The sequence below is a fragment of the Homo sapiens genome, chromosome 1 (genome assembly GCF_000001405.40).
Source record: "Homo sapiens chromosome 1, GRCh38.p14 Primary Assembly".
Lineage (NCBI taxonomy): Eukaryota > Metazoa > Chordata > Mammalia > Primates > Hominidae > Homo > Homo sapiens.
Window position 1 is genome coordinate 3,417,635 of NC_000001.11, and position 23,974 is coordinate 3,441,608.

At 58.5% G+C, this 23,974-nt stretch overlaps 1 protein-coding gene across 2 annotated transcripts in view, besides 3 other annotated features; it reads left to right on the plus strand.

The window, feature by feature from the left end:
• The window catches only part of PRDM16 (PR/SET domain 16), a 369,419-nt gene extending 348,432 nt beyond the window's left edge, over window positions 1-20,987 (plus strand). The window contains exons 11-17 of one of the 2 annotated variants that reach the window (NM_022114.4): window positions 194-363; window positions 1,033-1,110; window positions 7,947-8,116; window positions 8,417-8,591; window positions 13,238-13,474; window positions 14,332-14,506; window positions 16,043-20,987. In NM_022114.4, coding sequence (NP_071397.3) covers window positions 194-363; window positions 1,033-1,110; window positions 7,947-8,116; window positions 8,417-8,591; window positions 13,238-13,474; window positions 14,332-14,506; window positions 16,043-16,177 — 1,140 coding nt within the window. In that variant the 3' untranslated portion in view covers window positions 16,178-20,987. The remainder of the gene's footprint in view (window positions 1-193; window positions 364-1,032; window positions 1,111-7,946; window positions 8,117-8,416; window positions 8,592-13,237; window positions 13,475-14,331; window positions 14,507-16,042) is intronic. The other variant, NM_199454.3, reaches the window with a different exon arrangement.
• Window positions 3,030-3,530: an enhancer, noted in NCBI's record as "H3K4me1 hESC enhancer chr1:3337228-3337728 (GRCh37/hg19 assembly coordinates)". NCBI's record gives its function as "activates a minimal SCP1, AML or CMV promoter by ChIP-STARR-seq in naive H9 embryonic stem cells {active_cell/tissue: H9 hESC(naive)}" and the evidence as "EXISTENCE:reporter gene assay evidence [ECO:0000049][PMID:30033119]".
• Window positions 15,817-16,326: an enhancer, noted in NCBI's record as "H3K27ac-H3K4me1 hESC enhancer chr1:3350015-3350524 (GRCh37/hg19 assembly coordinates)". NCBI's record gives its function as "activates a minimal SCP1, AML or CMV promoter by ChIP-STARR-seq in naive H9 embryonic stem cells {active_cell/tissue: H9 hESC(naive)}" and the evidence as "EXISTENCE:reporter gene assay evidence [ECO:0000049][PMID:30033119]".
• Window positions 22,961-23,723: an enhancer, noted in NCBI's record as "H3K4me1 hESC enhancer chr1:3357159-3357921 (GRCh37/hg19 assembly coordinates)". NCBI's record gives its function as "activates a minimal SCP1, AML or CMV promoter by ChIP-STARR-seq in primed H9 embryonic stem cells {active_cell/tissue: H9 hESC(primed)}" and the evidence as "EXISTENCE:reporter gene assay evidence [ECO:0000049][PMID:30033119]".

Here is a 23,974-nt window from a genome sequence, read left to right on the forward strand (position 1 = left end):
ACAAGAGCAGGGCTGACTACAGAAAGGTGAAAAAATCCAACCCAGGGTCCAAGAAAATACTAGGAGACCATTGCTTCCAGTGCCCACCTGAGCACCCTAAGATATGCTGTTGTACAGAACCCCCAGCAGTGCGTGCCCCTGAAGACAGGTGAGAGTCAGCTGAGTCCATAACCTCCCACTCTTATGCCTACAGATGTCAGCCATAGAGACCATGACAGAGAAGCTGGAGAGCTTTGCAGCCATGAAGGCGGACTCGGGCAGCTCCCTGCAGCCCCTCCCCCACCACCCCTTCAACTTCCGGTCCCCACCCCCAACGCTCTCCGACCCCATCCTCAGGAAGGGCAAGGAGCGATACACGTGCAGGTGAGGGGCCCTTTGGTGCTGCTGGGACAGCCCTGGCGGGGCTCGAGTGCCACACCTGTGGCTGTGAACCTGTGCTTCCAGGAAAAACTCAGAGTCCCGGCCATAGGAAAGCACAGCACTGCAATCAGCTGGTTATCTGCTTGAGGTCATGCTTTGCAAATAAGTGACTTGGGTGGCCTCCCCTGCCTCACGCCATGCTGTGCTCTTGGGAGCTCAAGAATATGCAACCTCAGCCCAGCCTGAACTGGGAAGGCTGGGCCTGAGGTGTGCTGGTCAGTGACTAACCTCAGCGCTTGGAGGGATGGGAAGCCCAGTGCTACAGCCTCAGCCAATTTCTGCAGTGTCAGGATGACACCCTCCCGGCCACCCTCTGCTGGTGCAGGCCTGTCCAAGTCTGTTGGAGCCTGCCCTGTTCACCGCCAGACTGAGGGGCCGAGACGCTTCAGGGGGCAGGGGCTGCTCTGTCTACTACTGTGGCCCATGGCAGCCTGCTCTGCAACTGAGGCTGGGCTTCAGGGCCGTGGAAGGGACTGAAACTGGGATGCTGGGATGGGTCCACCTGTGCATCAGGTGTGAGACCCCGAGCATTAGCTTGAAACCATTTCTGGGAAATGGCCATGTAAGCCCACCCTAATCCTCCCTCACCCTCCCCACCTCCCTCCACCCCAGGTACTGTGGGAAGATCTTCCCCAGATCAGCCAATCTCACCAGACACCTGAGGACGCACACTGGGGAGCAGCCGTACAGGTAGGTGCTGCGTGGGCTGGGTGTGGGGGCGGGGCCGCCTGCCTCCGTGCACCGCTGACCCACTCCTAGGAGTAAGTATGCCATTCCCAGGGCTCCCTGCTGGAGTGAGCAGGCAGTGGGCAGGGCCGGGTGCTGAATTCTGGTCACTCTGGCCCTCCCCTCCTGGCCTCAGCAGGATGTTTGAGGATGAGGCAGGAGGTGCCCAGGAACCTTCTGGAAGGCATCTGCCTGGCTCTCAAAGATGTGAGGGAGCAGCTCTCCACCCACCCTAGGGTGTTCACTGGGGCAGGGGATCCTCATCAGAGCAGGGCTGACCAGAGCCAGGGCCCAGAGGGTCCACATGGGAGAAAACCTCAGCTTCCCCACACCCAGCCCAACTCCGTTCATCTCACGACGGCCATAGCTGCCCCCACACCCCCACTTCTGGTGGGCCAGGGAGTGGGCCAAAGGCAGAGTGAGACTCCGTGCAAATGCGGGTCCCCACCCCCCACTTGGAGCCCACTGAGGGATTCCACGGGGTCCCGGGGACAGCCTGGATGGGAAGCGGTGCGTCTGCTTCCAGGATCCCCCCGTGCTCCTCTCATCTGAGGAGCCGGCTGGCACCTGCAGTGAAGCAGTCACACAGCTCATCGGGATGGGGGAGGCATTGAATTTGGGGCTCACAACAGCCTCCCAACAGGCTTGTCATCCCATTTCAAAGATGAGGGGCCCGAGGCTCAGAGATGCCCCATGAATCACCGGGGTCAGTGCCTGGGAGTGGGCATTTTAAGCGAGAGCCCCAGACAATGGTAACTGGGAGGCGAATGGGGAAACGCTGGTTTTCTGCCAAGGCTGGTTTAGTGACACATGCAGGGTGTGTCTGTTCACAGAGGCCATTGGGGATAAAGAGTGCTTCACACGGCTTAAGTTGACAGCATAAGATTTCTGTCCTCTGGCCACACAGAGCTAGAGGGGCCACATGATAGTGCAGGCACTGGGGACTCAGTCTGTGTCTCCATCCCTGGGGAAGGAGACCAGCTGAGGCACCTGTGCATGTCGTGGTCACTGACCCCCACTCTGAGACAGAGCAAGCATCCCCGGCTGCCCCAGGGCTGTGTCCCAACTCGCAGGGTAAATGACAGCTTATACCACTTACGGGTCATCTGTTCAGCGCTCACAGCCCTCCCCAATTCACAGGCCCCCCCTTACCCACCCTTCAAAAAATAGTGACTTACAACTTAACAAAGGCTAGCAGCAGAAAGATTTATTTGGTCTGGTCCCCTCCCAGAAAATGAGCTGTGTGTTTTTTCTGTAATGAGAGCCGACTTCTGGACAGCGTTGTGTGCTAAGAGCCCCTAGAGGGTCGGGGTGGTGTTTATAGAAGAATTTAATTATCATTGATTTCTTTTGCTCTCTCCAATCTGTGAGTTTCGACTTTGGTAACAATAATTGCTTTGCAAGTTTGTGTTGCAAATCCTGACTTTATCTGGCTCAAGGCAGGTCTGTGCCGAGGGGTTTGGAGCGTGTAGCTTTCCTTTTGATACCACTGGTGGTTTCTGGACTGGCTTTGATAATCAGAAGGATTTTAAATTGGAGGAGGGAAAGTGCCGGCCATCCCCAGAAGCCTGCCAAGAGGAGCTCAACCCCCCATGCCCGCCCCAGTGTGAGCCCCTTTCCGGTGCCAGCACCCACGTGTGTGCCCGCCGCATGTGCATATGTGTGTGCCCTGGAGAGGTCGGGCTGACGCAGCCCCGCGCAAGCAGGAGGAAGCAGGCTTCTCATGGGTTGCCTGGAGTGATAGGGTAATCAAACCAGATGACATTGGAAGCCTCTTCCGTTTAAGTCCTTGCCTCAGATGACCTGAAATCGTTCAGAATGTGTTTCAAAGCCCTGAGGTAGGGAACGTAGAGCCTTTGGTGCACCAAATATGTTTCTTGGAGGTAACTTGGCCCCTAGCTTCTCCTGGCCTAGAGGTCTTTGAGTGAAGCGGGAAGGTGAGATTGAGTTAATGGCAGTCTTATTTCTTAAAAAAAAAGTTAAGCATATAGGCTTTGCGGGATTTGGGTTGGAGAAGCATGAAAATTGAACTGGGAGTGGGGAGAGGGGCTGCTCCTTGGTCTTCGTCCTGACAGCCGGCCCGGGGGTCTCTCTGGGAGGCTGCCCAGTGGAGCCTGGAGTCACAGCCTGGATGCGAGCAGGGCTGCCCGGGACTCCTGCTGGGACCGAGATTCCTGCCTCAGGGCTGCTGACTCCCTAGTCTGCCGTGTGCTTCCATCATCTCCCCAGGCTCCATCCTGCCTTCTGTGTGAAGCTGGAGCGTGCAAGGGAGGCACAGTTGTGCTTCCATCGGGGGCTGCACGCGGCCCGTGCATGTCCTTTCTTTTTTAGTTGTATTTTTACGGCTGGGTTTCAAAATCTCTTCTTTCTTCCTCTTCCCTCACTTTTACAGTCACCAAAAGCAGATCCCCCTGTAGTGGCTGCAGGAGACCTCACTGGATCCTAGGAAGGATGCCGCTGCCCAGTGCTCAGGGGCTCGGGGGCCCTGGCCACCCCCCCTGACCTGCCCATACTCTGTTGTTCCCCTGCCAATGGCTTCTCTGGGAGTGCAGCAGGCACGGTCACAGCAAGGTCCTCTCAAGGCCCTCCGCATTGCACCAGGGCCAGGCTACCCTGCACGTTCTCCTTCCTTTTGGAGCTCACGGGCGTGTTATTTTACGCAGTGAGACCATCAATTTCACTGGCCGCTTGTCAGCTTATTTACAACGCAGACCCCAGCTGCTCGGAGAACTCTGCTCCCTCGCAGCCCTGGGCTCACGGCTCCCCTAAATTTCAAATGGACTTCTCTGTCTGGGCCATTTATTTAGATTAGAAGCAAGAGAGGGCCACGTTCAGGGCTCTCTGCAACCAAATTGAACGCACAGCCCTGTTCGTGGCTCTCCCCGGCCCCAGAGCTTCACACAAGGGACTTGCTCTCCAGTTTTATGAACAAGCTTCTTTTCCAATCCCATTTCTTACCTCGGATCCACAATTGCTAGGGTTTATGCAAGAGCCATTAGGTGGACTTTCTGCAAAAGTCTCTGCATTTCCAAAGAAACCAGGAACTGAATGAGCCGTGTTTGAGCACACATGCAGACAGACAGGCAGACACACAGGCAGGCGGACAGACAGGAAGATAGGCAGGCAAACAGACAGGAAGACAGACAGGCAGGCAGACAGACAGGCAGGCGGACAGACAGGAAGACAGACAGGCAGGCGGACAGACAGGCAGACAGACAGACAGGCAAACAGGCAGGAAGGCAGACAGACAGGTAGATGGACAGATGGATGGACAGACAGGCAGACAGACAGGCAGGGCAGACAAGCAGGAAGGAAGATAGGCAGGTGGACAGACAGATGGACAGACAGGCAGGCAGACAGGCAGACAGACAGGCAGGGCAGACAGGCAGGAAGGCAGATAGATAGATAGGTAGGCAGACAGACAGATGGACAGACAGGCAGACAGACAGGCAGGGCAGACAGGCAAGAAGGCAGACAGACAGGCAGGTGGACAGACAGATGGACAGACAGGCAGGCAGACAGACAGGCAGACAGACAAGCAGATGGACAGGCAGGAAGGCAGATAGACAGACTGGCAAGCAGGCAGACTGGCAGGCAGACAGACAGTCAGGCAGGCAGACAGATTGGGCTGCCTCAACATGCCAGAGGGGCACATGGCCCCAGCTGGGTGGGAAGCCTCTGGCTGGGCAGAGCCTGAATGCTCAGACTGGCAGGTGCTTTGCATCCGGGCTGGAGACGCAGAGTCCAGTGTGTCCTTTCTCAGCAGTCAGTCAGCCTCAAAAGCATGGCGGTCCCAGGGCCAGGCACCACCATTCCAGTCTAAGGATGTGTCAGGGTGGGGGATGTGAGAAAATGCATTGGAGGGTGTAAAATCCCTCCTTTCTGGGAGATTGTGTGGGACACGTCGGGTAGGGGGGCACCCAAGCATCTCCAACCCTGCTGCCGAAAGGGCTCCATCCTCGGCCTTATTCTTGTGTGAGTTCACAGGCCGAGTCAAACAAAACTGCAGCGCCGCCCAGGGCAGGCTTTGTGGATGGCCAGTCCAAGCCAGGGCGCTGCCTGTCACTGGGCTGTGGGAGGAGACGCTGGGACCCGGGTGCCCGGAGGCAGCTCAGCTGACCCGGGCAGGAGCAGGGGCTCCCAGAGAAGAAGCCCACAGGCCAGGCCCCTGGGATCAGGAGCAGAGAAGGCTGAGGGTCACTTCGGGGAGCTCAGGGACTTCGATCACCAATGCTTCTTTTCCTGTCTACTGTTGAAGAGGCCAGAGTGAGCCTGGCCTCCGGCAAAGGTTGGAAGGTTCAGGAATTGAGTGGATGAAGCCTTAGGGCAGCACCAGGGAAGTTTGCTGGGACGAAGTGGGATGGGGATATGCCTCGGCCAGGCGTGGGAGAGGAGTGCCCTTCTCCCAGGACTGCCTCCCGTTCTCTAGGGGACCCATTTTCAGACTTGCTAGGTTTTACCAGGCAGCCTGGGGAGTTGGGGGAGACTCGCAGGCTCTGAGATTCCAAGGACAGTTTCTCACGGCCGCAGCCCCTGCACGTGGGGAATGCTGAGCTCCTGGGCCCGGCAGCAGCACCCGGAAGGTGTGGGACTGAAGCTTCCTGCCTTGGGGAGGCCCCTGCGGGTGTGTTGATGGCAGGTCAGACTCCCTCGCCAGGCTTTTGTGATAGCAAACACCAGCCCAGGCCCCTCCTGTACAGGGCAGCACCGTGCCGAGAAGGCCGAGCCACACAGCCCCTCCCGGTCTGGGAGGCCAGGACTCCCGAGTGTCACCAGGCACGTCCCCATCCATGTGACAAGGGCATGTGACCAGTATGCTGCTCTGGAGCGGGCCACCGGCACCGGTCGGGGCGGGGTGGGGCCTCTCGGAGTCCTGTCCTCTGTGGGAACGAAGGCCACTGTGCTTAGAACAGCCACACCCACTCCGGGTGAACAAACCCTGCCCCATCCTGGTGCCTCCACAGAGGCTCCCACAGAGGCCCTGGCCTGGTCTCCAGCTGCTACCAGGCCCCCCCGGCCAGGATCCTGCTGCAGTGGGTAGACTTTCTGTGTGCTGTGCCATGGGCATCATGGAGCTTGCTTTGTTTTCAAAATATGAAAACGCATGATCATATAAACAGAATGTTCAAGTGCGTGTGTGCCTGTGGGATCAGATGAGCACCGCTGCGGGCGTTCTGATGACCAAGAGCACACACAAGTGTGCACACACAGGCATGGCACACACGCACATGCCAAGCACCCACGTGCAACTGAAAACCATGCAGTCAGGGTTCCCTTCACCGTCGCCCAGCCCAGCCGGGTGCCTCTCAGTAAGCCAGTCCCAGCCCCCCGCCGGATGCCCCCCAGGGAGGAGGCTGTCTTCACAGAGGCAGCGCACGTGCATCTACAGAGCTCATGGGGTTCCTCCTTAGCTCATCCCCAGCTCCCCCTCTTCGTTTCAGGCATGATTTTCTTGCTGCTCAATGCACATGTCGCTCAGGCCCCCTAGTTCTCAGCCCCGCTCTCTAAAAATGGGAGAGAACAACCCTCCCTTTCCCTGCCTGCAGGGTCACCACGTGTGGCTGTGAAGGTCACTCCCAGCCCAAGGGCCCCACACTGAGGGGAACCCTCCACACGCAGCCCTCCTCGATCGCTCATTATGACGACTTTCCAGCCGCAAGGGGCCTTGCTCTGATAAACTCAGGGTGTTAGAGTCCTGCTCTGCCTGATGCCGTGGAGGCCAGATGGAGGAAGGGGGTCTCATCCCAACTTCCCCACGTGCACGGTGCAGGCCGGCAGCAGCCCTGCCCACCCTGGGGGAATAAAGATAAACCGAGCCCGGGAGCTGGCAGTGCCCAAAGGGGCCAGTGTGGTCTTTGTGTCCTTAATAGAGGAGGCAGCCAACAAGTGGCAACATCCAGGGCAGCCCCCAAGCCCTCCATGAATGGACTGGCAAACTGAGGCTCCAAGTGAGGTGGGGCCTGCCCAGGGGCCCCCAGCCACCTCGAGGGGTGGAGGAGGAAGGTCACAGGGAGCTGGTCTGGGAGCTGGTCTGTGGAGCCCCTCCGGCTGGGAAACTGGCCTTGCCGAGTGTCTTTCCATGGAGCAAGGCCGCCCTCTGGAGGCTGCAAGGAGCATGTCGCCCTCCGGCTGCAGACCTGCCGGCCCCGCGGCCTGGGGGCCAGGGAGACCCAGACAACAGAGGGCAGGAGACGCCGGAGGGTCGGGCGCACCGCCTGCCCAGGGGACACGGGGCACACTCCAGGGGGATCCACCAGCCAGCCACAGAACAGTAGGAGGGTGAACGCCTGCTTGCTTTTTTTTTTTTTTTTTTTTGAGATGGAGTCTCGCTCTGTCGCCCAGGCTGGAGTGCGGTGGCGTGATCTTGGCTCACTGCAAGCTCCGCCTCCCGGGTTCACGCCATTCTCCTGCCTCAGCCTCCAGAGTAGCTGGGACTACAGGCGCCCACCACCACGACTGGCTGATTTTTTTGTATTTTTAGTAGAGACGGGGTTTCACCATGTCAGCCAGGATGGTCTCGATCTCCTGACCTCGTGATCCACCCGCCTTGGCCTCCCAAAGTGCTGTGATTATAGGCGTGAACCCCTGCTTCTTGAAGCCGGGGCTGTTTCTAGGGACAGCTTCCCCAGGATGCCTTTGGCTCTGCAGCTGGGAGATCCAGCAACCTCCGGGACACGGCGGGGCAAAGCTGTGCACGGGGCACGGGGCAGGGGCGCGGGCTCCCTTCCCCCCACCCTCTGTGGCCCGGCCTGCCATGCAGAGCCGGGGCCTGCACTGAGGAGCGCGTGTGCCCCTTCCAGGTGTAAGTACTGCGACCGCTCCTTCAGCATCTCTTCGAACCTCCAGCGGCACGTCCGGAACATCCACAACAAGGAGAAGCCTTTCAAGTGCCACCTGTGCAACCGCTGCTTCGGGCAGCAGACCAACCTGGACCGGCACCTCAAGAAGCACGAGCACGAGAACGCACCAGGTGGGCCACGCGGGGTGGGGCAGCCCCCAGAGCACCCACACGGGCAGGCCCCACAGAGGGGGAGGGGGAACAGCAGGGGAGTGGGCGCCGGGCAGGGAAGAGGGCCACAGACTACCCCTCAGGAAGCCAACAGGCACCCCTCAAACCGTGGTCATTAAAGAGAACCTCGTGCTCTCCGGTGTCCCTAAGAAACCTGCCTCCCTAACAGCACCCCAGGTGTACCCCGTTCGCGGTTGGTTTGCCCCACGGAGGGAGGGGTCCAGCGAGAGGCCGCCCCCTGATGCTCCCGCCCCTCCGCAGTGAGCCAGCACCCCGGGGTCCTCACGAACCACCTGGGGACCAGCGCGTCCTCTCCCACCTCAGAGTCGGACAACCACGCACTTTTAGACGAGAAAGAAGACTCTTATTTCTCGGAAATCAGAAACTTTATTGCCAATAGTGAGATGAACCAAGCATCAACGCGAACAGAGAAACGGTAAGAAAACTATCGCGGGCTGGGGAAAGTCTGGACCCGGCCAACAGCCCTGCGTGGCCACCCTCAGAGGACATGCACCTCCACCCCAGCACCAGCCCCTAACACATCCAGATAGGCGCAGTGGGGGCCTCACCACAGAGGGTGAGGCCCCTGGGCTCTGGGAACCTGGGGAAGCTGCGCTGTCTGCCTCAGTTCCTCCACCTGGAGAGTCATGAGAGTAAGCACCCCTGGGCTTATGACCTCACTGTTAACATATGTGTGTGCAAAACACTAGCCAGGTGACCGAGCCGGGCACAAGTTCAGCTGTGCCGCTGACACTCAAGGACATTTTGATTTAATCTGAGGCACTAAAGATTTCCAAACCAAAATGCTGCACCTTTATACACACATGTACACACATACACATGTGTACACATGCACGCACACACATGCACACATAGGTATGCCCCGTGTACATGTACACATTCACATGCACATATGCACACAGAGATGCACGTTTGTATACATGTGTATACATATGCCATTGATGAATCCTCACTTGTTCCTCACCTGGCCTTGCTCTGGGAGCTGCAGTTTAGGGGATCGTGCCTGGGGACAGGGCAGGACGTGCCTGGGGACAGGGCTGTGGTCTGGGCATGGGCAGTCCAGGAACTGTGTGCTCTGCCCTTTGCGTGCAGGTCCCCAAATACGGGCATGCACGTGCACTCATGCACACACGTGTACATAACATGTGCGTGCATAAACATGCCTGCCTAGATCTACACACACGCATATGCACACATGCAAGTACATGCACATGGACAGTGTGTGCACATACACATGCGTGACGGACAGCCGTGTGCGTACACCTAGAGACACATGTACACGCATGGGCGCACGTGCGTCTAGACACACAGCAGCAGAACGATGGTGGAATTCGGATCCAGGAATGTCGGCGCATGCTCTGTGCAACCTGGGATACCAGGGCTCCGTAGGCCTCACTTACTCTGGGGGAGCCTTCAGACACCCCAGCGGGGCTGCTTCCTTTGTGAAAGCTAACACCAGCCAGCTGGCAGAGAACCGAAGGTGTTCCAAACTCCAAGAGGCCTGAGGGGGTGATCCCCTGATTCTACAGAAGGGAAAACGGGGCCCACAGAAGTGGGGTGTCTTGCTCAGGCCCAGAACCTAGAGCCAGATCCCAAGCTTTTACCGCACTGGCCATGGGCGGTCTAAGGCTCTGTACCCACAGGGCCCAGCTCACTCCCCACCACCTCCAGTAGGTGAAGAAGAAGCCCCCTGAGACCCCAGCTCCCTCAGAGCCCATCCCCTCCTCCAGGGCAGGGCTGCGTCTTCCTGTCATTGCTTCTAGGAGAGTGGGGGTACCTGGGAAAGAGGCATCCAAGCAATAAACACAGGAGGCAGTTGGACACTGGCTCTGGCAAAGCCACGTTCCAAATCTGTGCCCCTCCTAGGAAGGTGAGCTCACCTGTAGGGCCCTCAGCATCTTCATCCATCAGAGCCCAGAGCGGGCTCAGAGGAAGGGGCGGGGGGAGAAGCTGGCTCTGGGCCGTGGTCCCAAAAGCCTCACCTCCACCCCAGTGCAACCCCACCTACTCTGCAGCCCCCAGGCTGTCCCGGCATTCCCCAGTGGGCTCCAGGAACGATGGCCTGAAAGGAACTCTGCCCTGGCCACGCTGAGACAGCCGCATGGGAGCTGTTCGTGTTCCCTGCAGCTGCGTGTCAGACCCATGAGCGCCACAGGCCAGGCCTTACCTACGCCCCACAGCCCCGTCCCCAGGCACAATCCCCTAAGCTGCAGCTCCCAGAGTAAGGCCAGGCGAGGAACAAGTGAGGATTCATCAATGGCATCCTTGCCGGGGTGGGCCCAGGACCAGGAGCGTGTGCGGAGGCTGAACCACCTGGAGGACAGCAAGGCCCCCCTACCCCGAGCTAGGGTGCAGCCCGGCCGCACTGCAGGAGACCCACCAGGACCCCGAGCTAGGGTGCAGCCCGGCCGCACTGCAGGAGACCCACCAGGACCCCGAGCTAGGGTGCAGCCCGGCCGCGCTGCAGGAGACCCACCAGGACCCCGAGCTAGGGTGCAGCCCGGCCGCACTGCAGGAGACCCACCAGGACAGAAGGCTGTCTCTAAGAGAAAGAGATGTGGCCGGGCCTCCCCCTCGCCTATGGCAAGGCCCACAGTGCCCTGCTTCTCACAGCCCTAGGGGTGGGGACGAGGGAGGCTCTCCACACCTCAGAACATACGGGCACAGCCGGCCTCAGACGGACTCAGACTCAGGCCCTCGGAAGACCCGTCCTGCTGAGGCAAGGTCCCCGGGTCCAGCTGGCCTGGTCCTGAGAGCCCCTGCGTCACTGACGAAAATGAGAACAGGGCAAGGTGGACATAGGCAGCCAGTCCCTGGGGTGGCGGGAACGTTCCCTGGGCCTCCTGCAGAACCAGCTCCTGCCCTCCGCCATCAGGAAGGATCCAGTTCTGTCAGGAGTCCTGGTCCTGCAGCCCCGTGAACCCCTGAGTTGAATCATGTCCCTCAGCATTCCCAGGTGGAAGTCCCAGCCCCCGGTACCTCAGAATGGGACTCTCTTAGGAGATAAGGTCTTTAAGGAGGGATTAAGCAGAGGCCACACTGGGTAGAGTGGGCCCCAATCCAGCGGCACTGACGGCCTCTTAAAAAGGGGGCACTTGGAGAAAATCACGCAGGGGAGAAGGCCAAGGGAAAATGGAGACAGAGGTCAGGGTGATGCGCCTCCCAGCCAAGGGTCACCTAAGAGGGACAAAGGTCACCAAGGATGGCCAAGGAGGGCCAAGGGTCACATAGGAGGGCCGAAGAGTGCCAAGGTTTGCCAAGGATGGCCAAAGAGGGCCGGCAGCAGCGGGAGCTGGAGAGAGACCAGGGACAGATTCTCCCCCAGAGTCTTGGAAGGAACCCGGCCTGCCCTCGCCTGGATCTTGGACTTCTGGCCTCAGAGCTGTGAAAGCGTCCACGGCTGTTGCTTCAGGCCCCCATTCTGTGGGGCTTGGTTTGGGCAGCTCTGGGAAACTGACTGTCCTCCCTGTTGGAGCCAAACCAGCCACTGGGCCCTATTCTGTGTCCGTGCCGGATGCTCCGCTCCCCAACACTAAAAAGCAAATACTCTGTGCATGGGGGGTGTGCAGCAGACATAAAGAGGGCAAAGTCCCTGCCCCCAGCTGGTGGGAAGCCCATGCAAACCCACGTGGGGCCACCAGATGAGATCTCACAGCACATGCCCATGTGATGAGCCTGGGCTCTCACCCTGCGCCATCTCATCCCGTCCTCAGAGTGGACAGGGAGGGGTATGTCCTCGTGTCATCGAGAGGGCACAGGCCCCAAAGACAGAACCCCACCCGAGGGCACCTCACCAACAACCAGGGTGAGAACCAGGACCCGGATCCCAGCAGCTCCGTGGCTGAGGAGATGGGTGTGTGTACAGGACGCTCTTGGCCCCCAACACAGGCGACCAGGACCGAGGAACTCTCCTCAAGCCCTGAAACCTGGTGAGGTTCTGTCCGTCCTGGAAGGCAGAAAGACAAGAGATAGACACGTGGCCCATCTGTGGAGAGCCAGGAAATTGTGGCCTCCCCAAGCCCAGTTCCCGTGCACACAGGCGAGTCCGAGACACGGAGGTCGGTCGCCGTGAGACGCTGTCACTTTCTTGCTTGGATGCCAAGAGCAGGACCCCTGCATCTCACCCACACCGTGGATACCTCCCAGGGCAGCGGGAGGCAGTGCCCCCGGGCGGAGTGAGGACAAGGAAGAGTGGCCCTGGGGCTCTGGGCATGGGCAGTCCAGAAACTGCGTGCCCTGCCCTTTGCTTGGGCCCCTCTACCAGTATGTCCAGCATGTGCCCGGGGGCCCTCAGCTCCCCTGGGGCCCAGCCCACCCAAGACACAGCTCTTGGTCGTGAACATGAAGATGAGCCAAACTCTAGTGGCTCTTCCTGAAAGAAATGAGAATGCCCAGCCACACCCATGCACGCTTTGTTCTTTTTTATTTAATACTGAGGAACCGGAGTGGAGGGGTCCTGCCGGGCTGCAGTGACCCTGAGGGAAGTCAGGAGAGCCCTGGGCTGCAGAAGAGTCCCCCCACAGGCTCCGAAGCAAGCTTGTCCTGGTGCATTCAGACTGCTCACAGCAGGCTTTGGGCCCTCACTCTCCAGATCCCAGAGAGCCCTCCAGGGCTCCCGGCTCTCGGGCCAGTGCCCACGTCCTCGAGTTGTCAGCCTGAATTCCTTCCCCCTGAAGTCTGCCCTGAGGGTGCCCCTCGTGCACTGCCCAACCCCCGTGCCAGTGCAGGTCCAGCTTCCCCACAGGACTGCCCACTGCTTCCACCCCAACACCGCCCCGGCCCTGGTGTCCTCCCGGCCATAGCAGCTTGCTGCTGGGCCTTGCCCTGCCCCCACCGCCCCGAGCGCTTGCCCTCCTCTCCCGGGATCGCCCCCAGGCCTCCGTGCCTCTCACTCTGCAGAGTCAGTGGCTGGGCCCAGGGACCCGCGGGAGCTCCCTCAGGAAGGGGGCTGAGTGTTGTCGGGGGAGGCAGTGGGGGCAGAGCGGAGTCACCAGCCTTTGGGGGTCCATGGGAAGGACAGAGACACCCAAACTCAGTCAATCTCCTCCTGCATCATTTCAGGGCGGACATGCAGATCGTGGACGGCAGTGCCCAGTGTCCAGGCCTAGCCAGTGAGAAGCAGGAGGACGTGGAGGAGGAGGACGACGATGACCTGGAGGAGGACGATGAGGACAGCCTGGCCGGGAAGTCGCAGGATGACACCGTGTCCCCCGCACCCGAGCCCCAGGCCGCCTACGAGGATGAGGAGGATGAGGAGCCAGCCGCCTCCCTGGCCGTGGGCTTTGACCACACCCGAAGGTGGGGGCAGCCGTGTGCTCCAGGATGGGGCAGGGAGGGAACGTGGGCGTCCATCACGAGGGGGACCTCCCTCTTCAGCCACTCGTGAGCCCATCCCTGGCTCAGCCCCTACTCCAGCACAGCCACCTCAGGGCCTCCACACACAGGCCAGGGCAAGGCTGGGCCAGGGGCAACGGGGTCAGGGGCCCTTAACCCCCCCACCCACCCCCAGGGGCCCTGGAGGCTGGAAGCAGAGTGTGGAGGGGAAGGCATTTCCCTGCACTGAGCAGACATGGAGGCCCCCGGCCCTGCAGCAGAGCTGCCTGTCAGCCTGGGACAGCGCGTGCAGCCACTAGAGGGCCGTGGGCACACGGGGGCCAAGCACCCACCATTCTGTGCCGGCCAGGGCCACTTCCCCATGTCCTCAGTGTTCGCCACCAATATCGGGCCTGGGCGACACTGCCAGCATTCCCAGATGCCCTTGGGGAGGCCCTTCGGAGGTGGCACTTCCTCTCCAGCCTGGATGCTGCCCCTGAGTCCTGGGAGAGGGAGCCCCGGGCCTCTCTGAGCTGCCTGGGGTCTTAGAGAATTGAAGCCTTCTTCTCCACCCTCCACTGGCAAGACCTGAGCCCCCTGCCTGCTGCCTGATGCGTGTGCACGCACTCACCCCCTCCCTGACCTCTGTCCGTCACTCTCCTGCATCCGTGTGCCTTCCCGTCCAGGCGTCTGTGTGTCCGTGTGTCTGTCTCCCTGTGCATGTGGCTGGCAGAGATGCAGCGGCGTGCATGCAGGCCCGGAGCTGGGCTTGCAGCATCAGAGAGGCGGCCAAGGCCAGGCTGCTGACAGCAGGCCTTCCCTCTCCCCGGTCATTGGTGCAGGTGTGCTGAGGACCACGAAGGCGGTCTGTTAGCTTTGGAGCCGATGCCGACTTTTGGGAAGGGGCTGGACCTCCGCAGAGCAGCTGAGGAAGCATTTGAAGTTAAAGATGTGCTTAATTCCACCTTAGATTCTGAGGCTTTAAAACATACACTGTGCAGGCAGGCTAAGAACCAGGTAGGTACCCGCCAGAGCCCCTCCCCCACCCCACCTGGCCTCCTCAGCCAGAGGACAGCCAGCACTCCTCTCCCGCCGTGGCCCTCCTAGGCCTGAGGAAGCTCTGGTCACGCAAACGCCCCCACGCTGCATCCTCCAGAGAGGCCCCAGCGACCACCGCCCTCCCGCAAGCTGGGGCGCAGCAGGGAGGGGCTGAGAGCCGATGACCCTGGCAGGACCCTCACGAGGGAGCTCACTCATGGACACGGGCAGCTCACCTTCCTGTGGTCCTCAGTGGGAAAGGTCTGTGAGCAGGTTTCTGGCCCGCCCAGCCGCCTTCGTCTCCCTCCCTCTCTGATCTGGGCCCCAGTGGCCTGCAGCCCGGGCTTTTCCCGGGGGAAGAGCTGTCCAGCCGGGCAGTCTCTGCTTCCCAGCTGGAGCAATGAGGTCAGCGAGGGTGCCAGGGTTTTGGCCCCAGGCGCTTCTCGGCTTCTCTCCTCAGGGTAGGTGGCCCCAGGGCCCTGCTCCCGCATTTCTCTCCAGTCTGTAGGGACTCAGGGTCTCATTCAGCACTCTACAGCCCTCCCAGAGGGAACAGGCCCGCCCCAGGTCTCAGCAAAAGCCGTCTGCGTGTCTGTCTTTGTCTTTTTACTAATTCTGTCTGGAGTGTTAACTCGGGTAGGACAGTGCTGGGCTTCCCCACCTTCCCTGCCCTTAACCCACACACGATGCTCCCCAGGTCCCATCCCCACCTGCCCTGTGCTGGGGGCAGAAGGATGTCCCATGAACTAACGCCTGGAAACACATCTGTACTTCCTAAGAATCCCATTGGCCCAGAAACGCTGCACATCCCTGTCCCAGAGGCAGCTCTTTGGTGTCCCCACGGTCACCAAAACAGACATCCCCTGGCAGGGGTGGCTCTTGTTGACCCCCAGTTCCCAGGGCCGTCCCAAACCAGACACGTGTCTGTAGTTTCTGCTGATCACCAGGTGGAGGAAACAGGGGGAAGGGGTGGGAAGGAGAGGAGGCTTCGAGGGGGAGCACCCCAAAGCAGCCAAGGGAGCTGGTGTGCACAGGAGGCCCTGCACCAGCACCCCAATGTCCTGGCATCACTCGGAGCAGGGGGCGGCCCTCGTCCCTCCCGCCGTCACGCCTGCTCATGTCTTCCTCTTCCAGGCTGCGGGGAGAATCCGGGTCTTAGTCCCTCTTGTTCCTTCTGCCCCCTGTGGCCCAGGGCAAGGTTGAGCCAGGCCAGGGCCACGGGAGGCTGGGAACGGACGAGGCTTGGCCCTGCTGGCCGGGGATGGCCTGTCCTGCCCACACACTCACCTGCCTGTCCAGGATGGCCTGCCCTGCCCATCTGCTGCCTGTCTGGGATGGCCCGCCCTGCCCACGCGCTCACCTGCCTGTCTGGGATGGCCCGCCCTGCCCACGCGCTCACCTGCCTGTCTGGGATGGCCCGCCCTGCCCACGCGCTCACCTGCCTGTCTGGGATGGCCCGCCCTGCCCACGCGCTCACCTGCCTGTCCTGTGTGTGTGTCATCCCCTCCCCGCCAGGCATATGCAATGATGCTGTCCCTTTCCGAAGACACTCCTCTCCACACCCCCTCCCAGGGTTCTCTGGACGCTTGGTTGAAGGTCACTGGAGCCACGTCGGAGTCTGGAGCATTTCACCCCATCAACCACCTCTGACGGGCTGGGCAGCCGGGGGCCGGTGGCCAGAGCGAGGGCACCAGCCACGAAGGACGGAGGCGGGCGGGGCCCCGGAGAACCCTGTCCCTGCGTGTGGCCACTCCTCAGCATCCTCCCCACCCACCATGGTTCATTCCGACTTTTCCAATGGAAACTCAGATCCCAAAAGTCCCTAAAGCAGTCGTAGAGTCTCACCATCTCCAAGGATTGGTCTTGAGAACACTGTTCAGTGACGGCCATGCAGGTGGCCGTCCAAAGACAGCCAACGGAGCTGCCTCGCAGAATCAGCCAGTGGGCAGGTGGACGCTCTGCTGAGACAGAAGCTGGTGGCCACTGCCGGGTGCCCGCGTGGGGTCGCGGAAGGGAATGGATAGACTGGTGTGCTCAAAAGAGAGAGATCACTCAAATGATTTTTATAATGAAATGACAAGAATAACCCTTTTGGTAACCGTATTGACTGCAGAGTCTATTTAAGCATGTGGTTTTAAAAATAGACAGTATTTTTTAAAAATCAAAAAATGACTTGCAAATTGTTTTTTAAAAGTAATTTTGCATTGCTTTGAAATTTGAGCTCATTTGCAAACCCGAGTCTGCCTGGGAACCCGCACTGTGCCTGGGTGTATTCTTTATACTGTAGATAATGGAGAAATTTTCTATCTCTGTCCCTATTTGTATAAGCCAAGGTGATGCTGGGTGCCCCGAGGCAGAACAAGAGGCGCGGGGCCACACCCGTGAACCATGCAGACGGCCGAAGAAGTCTTAGGCAGGGCGCCCTGGGCTGCAGGCCTGCCCGAGGCTGGGATGGGAAGTGTGCCTGCCCTCGTGTGACATGGAATTGGTGTCAGGACCGCCACGTGGCCTTCAGAGGAATCCACAGGTCCCCACCCAAGATCCCTCAATTATATGGGGAAGTCGAGGGCCTGTGGCTTGGATCCGCCATGCAGAGATGTGGCCGGGCACCCATCTTCCTTCCCTCCTCTGTCCCTGCCTCGGCCACCCCACGCGGGAACCCAGCGCCGTCCTCTGAAGGCAGGGCCTTGGCCACGTCCTGGGTCTCCCACCTCCCACCTGACCCCAGCGGCTCCGGTGTCCTCCACGTGGCTGCCCTGGGGAGCAATCCCAGCGGATCGCTCCGGGCCACCAAGCCGCACCTGTGCCTGAGACTCCGGATGGACGACACAGTCGTCACGTCGCTCTTCCTGCGGGTTCTTGGCGAGACACAGCTTGAGAACAGAAGGGCGTCGGGGGAACCTGCCGCAAGGAGCAGAGACAGCACAGCCCCCCGGGCCCAGCCGCCTCCCTCTCTTGGGACGCAACTTCTTCCCCACTCGGATGGGCTTTAAATTATTCCCATAGGGGCCAATTTCAAATAATAATTTTTTTCCCTGATGGAATTTACCTTAATCTGTATATAACTTGTAATTTTTTCTAATTCATTTCTTTTCTTATTTTATTTCCTCCTTAACAGTATTTTTGGCATTAGACATTCTTATTGTGAAGAAATAATGTTAATATAAGTATCTGGTGAAGGACCAAAACCGTGTGATAAGGTTGTGTGTCGTGTGGGAGTGGGGCGATTTTTTATGTGCCAAATACCCCCGTCCCCCCCATGAATCCTGCTGTCCCTGCTGCCGTTTACCAGACAATCATATGTTTTTGTTAAATTTGCGTTTCAGTTACATTTGCATTTAAGACAAGTGTTCTATTTATTTCTTGTATTGTTTGGAAGAAAAAATGATGATAGAGTCCCAAAAAGAAGAGAAAAAAAATGCCCAAGTTGCCCTTTAAAAAAAAAGAGCGTAAATACAAACAGGAGTGGTGCAAGCCGCCTTGGTGTGGGTTTGTGTCACGTGTGGACATCTCCTCAGGCTTTGTGTCACGCGTGGACATCTCCTCAGGCTGTCCCCAGCGGTGACGGGAGGTGTCCTGGCTGCTCCAGGACAAAAGACAATCGTCTCTGTGGGTGCCGGGTGGTCCAGGCTTGCACTGAAGACGTGCCACGGGGAGGCTCCTGCAGGAGGCTCAACCCGACGGATCACAGTGAAAGGGATTCCTCCCACGCCAGATCTGCACAACGAGGCAAGACAGGACCCACCTGTGCGTGCGCTGGGGCCATGGGGTGGCCCCGCCGGGGCAGCGGGGGAGCTGCCTGCAGAAGAGCCAGCTGGCGTGTCGGGAAGGATCCAGGATCTGCAAACACAACTGCTCAGGCCTTCTCACGCGTTTCCACAACATCCCCTGGGTCAGACCCACCAGGTACCCCGTAGGAATTTCCAGTTTCCCTTGATCTAGATGGGATTCTTATAAAAATTCAACCTCAGACATAAACACCCCATTTCTGTAAACCCAAATTATATGGTTTCTTCTGCGAAAGAGTAAGGTGTGTGCTTTTTTTTTTTTGCAATATGACCCCGTCTCTCTGAAGTGGGACATTCGGACGGATGGAGCCCTCAGCGTGTCTTTTCAGCAGGAGCAGAACCGATGAGAGCCGCCCTTACCGTTGGTCTCCGGATCCCCCAGTCCCATCCCGCCGTTTTCGGCTGTCTTCCTAACCGTCCTGTCTTCTCTTGGCGCTCTTTCCTTCCACCTTTCCCAAGAGTCCTGGTTGCACGTTTTAAGTCATATATTTTCGTCCCCCTGAAAATGATGGCAAGCCCAGTTTCTCCTGAGCATTCAGACCCCCAGGCCCCAGCACTTGGCGTTTTCAGGAGGCCCTGTTCTTAGAGCCCCTGACAAAGGCAGCACTTATTTCCTGGGCTGGTGCGCCCCAAAACACGGCCCCGACACTTAGTGTGGCCCCAGGCCCCAGCGAGCCTCGCCCTCCCAGTTTTGCTCTGCCCAGCAGTGTTGGTGCCCAGAGATGACAAGGGCCAGGGAGCCTGGCCCGGGTGTGAGAATTCAGAGATTCTGGCCTCCAGCTGTCACCACACCGTAACGGGGCCATGTAACTGTGCAGCATGGACAGGGATGCGACGGGGCAGCTGGCTGTGTCCATGGCCAGGTGGCCAGGGTCAGGGCTGCAAGCCAGGGGTCCAGGGCCCTTCCGTTCAGCCCAAATGCTGCCCCAATGCTAACTCCTTGGATTGTCAACCCCCATCCCCCAAATGGAAATTCCGAAGGAGGCCTCCTCGCACCTGCCCTCCGCTGCTCCTCAGACCCCAGCCCCCAGCGAGCCGACGTCCCCACCCGTTCCTGCTCTCATCCCCAGGTTGGGCACGTGGGGTTCCTCCTCTGTGGGCCTGGCAGACCCTTCATGAGTGGGACCCAAGATATCACTGACTTCAACCCAGAGGATCGAGCCCCTGCACCCTGCCTGGGGCCCTGGGGTGTGGAGCAGTGGCTGGGGTGGGCGTGGTGTGGCCTGAGAGACTGCCCAGCTGGAGAGGCCTTCCTTTACAAGGCCACGCGTGCAGCTGTCCCATCCAGACCCCGACTGGCCAAGACCTCCACGTCCCCAGAGTCCAGCCCTGGAAATTCCAAGGGCCCTGGCGTCCTCTGCCTTCCCCGCTTCCCCATGAGCGTCTGCAAAACACTTGCCTGAATACATATCACGTATTTTAGACTCGAAGCCTCAAAGCACTGGATTGTGGTCCCCTGCCCCCTCTGTCCCGTCCCCCTGCCCAAGTGACTGAAACCTACTGAGCTATATTCACTGTGCTGTCCTAGGGGGAGGGAGAGCAGAGCTCGCCCCTGCACTGCAGCCTTGTGGGGGAGGGCAAGGCTCTCCTCCCAGCCAGGGACGCCAGGACATAGCTGCTCCTGGTCAGTGGAGGTCAGCCGGGTATCAAAAGCCATGAAACTGTGTCTCTGTAGCAATGAGTGATACTGTGACAAAACCATCCTTGCATTCTTCCTAGAAGAGTTCCTCTGCTCCTTCCATTCCATTTTTGTGTTTGTTTTGTTCTTTTCTGTCACTGATCCGTATTACCACTTTTGGAAAAAAATAAATAAATAAATAAATAAAAGGCAGCTTGAGTTTCCAAACGTGTGATTCACTTGTGAACAAAAGTCATTCTAACAATTGCCTTCAGCGTCACGTGCATTGCCACTGCGCTTTCGGCACGAGGGATGCTGAGCCCTGGTGTCAGAGTCGTAATTTAAAGCGTGTGTGTATATGGACTTTGTCCCTTAAGGTCGATATAAAGAATCCTCGCAGAATCACAGACCTGTGCCGCCCGCCACCTTCTGCCATTGTTACATTACAGATTTGGTTTAGTTTTGTTTTGTTTTGTTTTTTCTTTTAGAACTGTATAGTATTGAAAAAGAAATCAAATGTAAATGTCTGGTTTTCATATAATGTTTAAAAAGACCATTGAGAAGGAGGCTGGCGCTCGCCCCATGTCCCCCTTGATTGTAAATTGCTTCTGTTCTGTTTATAAGTAAACTGTGCATGACTCCTGCTTAGCGGTCATTATCGTGTCTGTTGGTGAAATTTTTATTAAAAGGAAAATTCTGTAGATGCACTTATTGAATATGTGATTAGGATCTACGTCTGAGACTAGGAGTCCTGAACTGCTGACGCGAAAGAGGCGCAGTTCCCAATTAATACGGAAATCGCTGTGGGAGAAGAATGAAATAAGACGTGAAGTGTAGGAAATCATGAAAAGAACAATTTTGCAAATTGCATTCTGATGCTTGTGATGAACACAAATGTACTTGTGTAGAGACATTTCCTTAAGAGAAAGCCTAGGAGAAGCCGATTTGGAGGTTAATGCTGTAGAATAGGACTGTATACCAAATGTAATCTTTCCAATGCTCCAATGAATTTATACATGAGATTGATATGCAATAAATCTGTGTGCTTTTCTAAGCCTCGGTGCCCGCGAGCTTCATTGAGGGAGAGGCCCCAGGCCTGTGGAAGGGAGAGGAGGAGCAAGCCAGGGCTCGGCCGAGGTCCAGGCTCCCTGGCTTTGACTGAGGAGTCCCGGGGCCAGGCCCTGATGCCCTTGGAGCTTTGTTCCCTCCACCCTCCGGGGCAGACTCCTGGCTATTCCCATTTTCCAGAAAAGAATAAGCTCAGGAAGGCATCAACTCCCTGGATGGCCCCAGAGCGAGCACAGTGACCTCCAGGTGTGTCCCTCTGCCAAGCATGACAGCCTCCAGATGCAGCAGCCTCCAGGCATGTCCCCCAACTGTGCCTGCCTCCAGGTACACAGGACCCAGGGCCCACCCCACAGGCCTTGCCCCAAGGCTTCCTGGGGATGCAGCATTCCCTGTTGGAGGTGCTGGGGGAACCCGTCTTCCATGCCAGCAGTCCCCACGCTTTTTAGCACCAGGGACTGGTTTCGTGGCAGACAGTTTTTCCAAAGACCAGGGGATGGATGGTTTGGGGCTGATTCAAATGCATTACATATATCGTCCACTTTATTTCCATTATTATTACATTAGAGTATATAATGAAATAATTCTACAACTCACCATAGTGTACAATCCGTGGGAGTCCTGAGCTTGTTTTCCTGCAACTAGGCCTTCCCATCTAAGGGTGATGGGAGACAGTGACAGATCATCAGGCATTAGATGCTCACAAGGAGCGTGCAGCCTCGATCCCTCGCACTCGCAGTTCACAATAGGGTTCCCGCCCCCATGAGAATCTCACGCCGCCACTGATCTGATGGGAGGTGGAGTGCAGACGGTGATGCAGACGATGGGGCGTGGCTGTAAACACAGAGGAAGCTGGGTTCCGCTGCGCCCCCCATGCTGTGTGGCCCGGTTCCTAACAGGCCAAGAACTGGTCCTGGCCCATGGCCTGGGGTCTGGGGGCCTCTGTTCTAGGCCAGTCCTCAACCCACCCCTTCCTAAGGGTGGCCCTCCCCATGTCAGCCTCCCTGAAGTCTGTGTCCACCAGCACCTCACATGGCCTGATGCTGCCCTGACAAGGGACAGCCACAGGGGTGGGATAGGGGGTGAGCTAGAGGCCCCGGGGCTGGAGCAGACCCAGTCCCCTCAGGGGCTTCTCTTGTCTACCCCCAGACTGCCCCTGGGATTCCTTCCTGGGGCCCTCCTGCCTCTGGGAGAGGCTCCATTCCCCTACCCTGATTCTGCTCTGACCCAGAAGCCTAGGGGGCGTAAACCTCAAAGGGGAATGTCCAGCCAGACCGAGCCCAGCCTCCCCAACCAGGACTGCCCCAAACCGTCTCACCCACGTAGGCCCCCACTGGCTCCCTGCTGACACAGAGTTTAACTGATGTCACCCAGGTGACCTGGCCTCCCACCCCCACCCCTACCCAGGGCCTCTGAATGTCTCCTGGGCTCCCTCCTGTCCACCCCTCCCAGTGGGCCGGGCCTCTGGAGCTGTGCCCCTCCACCTCTCCCCTCCCTTACCCCCGAGTGCCTGGAACACAGGCCTGGCTGGGGTTCCAGGGAGGTGGGCAGTTATTACCCACACGCGGTCGACAGCCTCGCTTTGGAGTCAACACTGCCGGCCTTCGACCGTCTCCCAGCAGCATCTTCTTCCGAGGACCCCTGTTTGAGAGTGGCCCAGGCTGATTATAAAACTGATCTTTATGATGCCTGACACCTGCTCACATCAGCCACCACCACAGCTACCGCCTTGGCCATGCCTATGGGAACCTCTCACCTACCTGAGCCCTCACGGACCCTCCTGCCCGCAGCCTCCCCTCCCCACTCCCTGAAGCTCCCCACCCCTGACCCCTTCGTGCCACCCTCCTCAGCCACTCCAGCCCCCAGGGGGCAGCCCCGAACTCCCAGGACCTACACCACCAGCAACAGATCCTCCCCACCTGCCAGACCACATGGGAGGGGGCAGGGCAGCGCCTCTTCCACACGCCAAGAGCCCTGGGCTGCCTGTCTGACACCCCCGTATCTATCCCTTCGCATTTGTGTAAGGAGAGGCAGCTGTAGACGCTTTTTTACAGGCAGGGAAATATCTCACCTTCCTCCAGCACAGCTGAAGTGCTCAGCGATTCTAAGCCTCCTCGTAGACCGGCATCTTCAGGCCCCAGGTCACGCAGGGGACCCCTTAGCCTCCATCCACTGAGTCCAAAAATACCACATGCACTGGATTTGGGGCTGTGAGGACTCCTGGGGGCTCCCTGATTCACCTCTCAGTCCCCAAAGCCTGGCTTGGGGCCCATGCTTGGGAGAAGGCTGCCTGCATGAATGAATGAAGGGATGAGTGAATCGGTCACTTGCTGTGAGGGCCATTACCCAGCAGGGATTCTGGGATCACCAGGGCCTCCCAAGTCCACCAAGGGGCCAGAGCAGGCTCTAATTGTAGGTAAATGGAAGCCGGGGGGCTGAGGTCCTCAACGGCAGCTCCTGGTGCAGCCAAATGGGCCCACGCAGAGGCTGATCTCGGAACAAGATCCCAGACCCGAGTCTGGGGTGTTGAGCATTTTTATGTTCTTATCACCACCACATGAAGTGTTTACACATTGCCGGACTAGCGGGGGCAATGCGCTGCAATATTCCAAGGTTCCTTCCCTTCCCGATGTGATTGACGAAGCGTCGGTGAGATCTTAAGCCCCCTCAGTCAGACGTGGGCTTGGCCCCGGGAGCCTGAGGCCCAGAGACAGCTTGAAAGGCTTCTCTCTGGGAAACATGTTTCCGCTCTCAGAGGACAAATTATGTGGATCACAGAACTGATGGATGGCCCTGCTCCCAAAAGTCACTCACAGCAATCGAATGACAGTACCCAACCTCCCCATAATGGCCCTTGCCTGGAGCTGGCCACGCTGGGGCTCCAGGCGAGTGAAAACCCTTCCCATCTTTGTTCAGCCTGGCAAACTTTCTCCTCATTAGCCCTGGAGGGGAGAGGAAAAATCTATGGAATAAGGG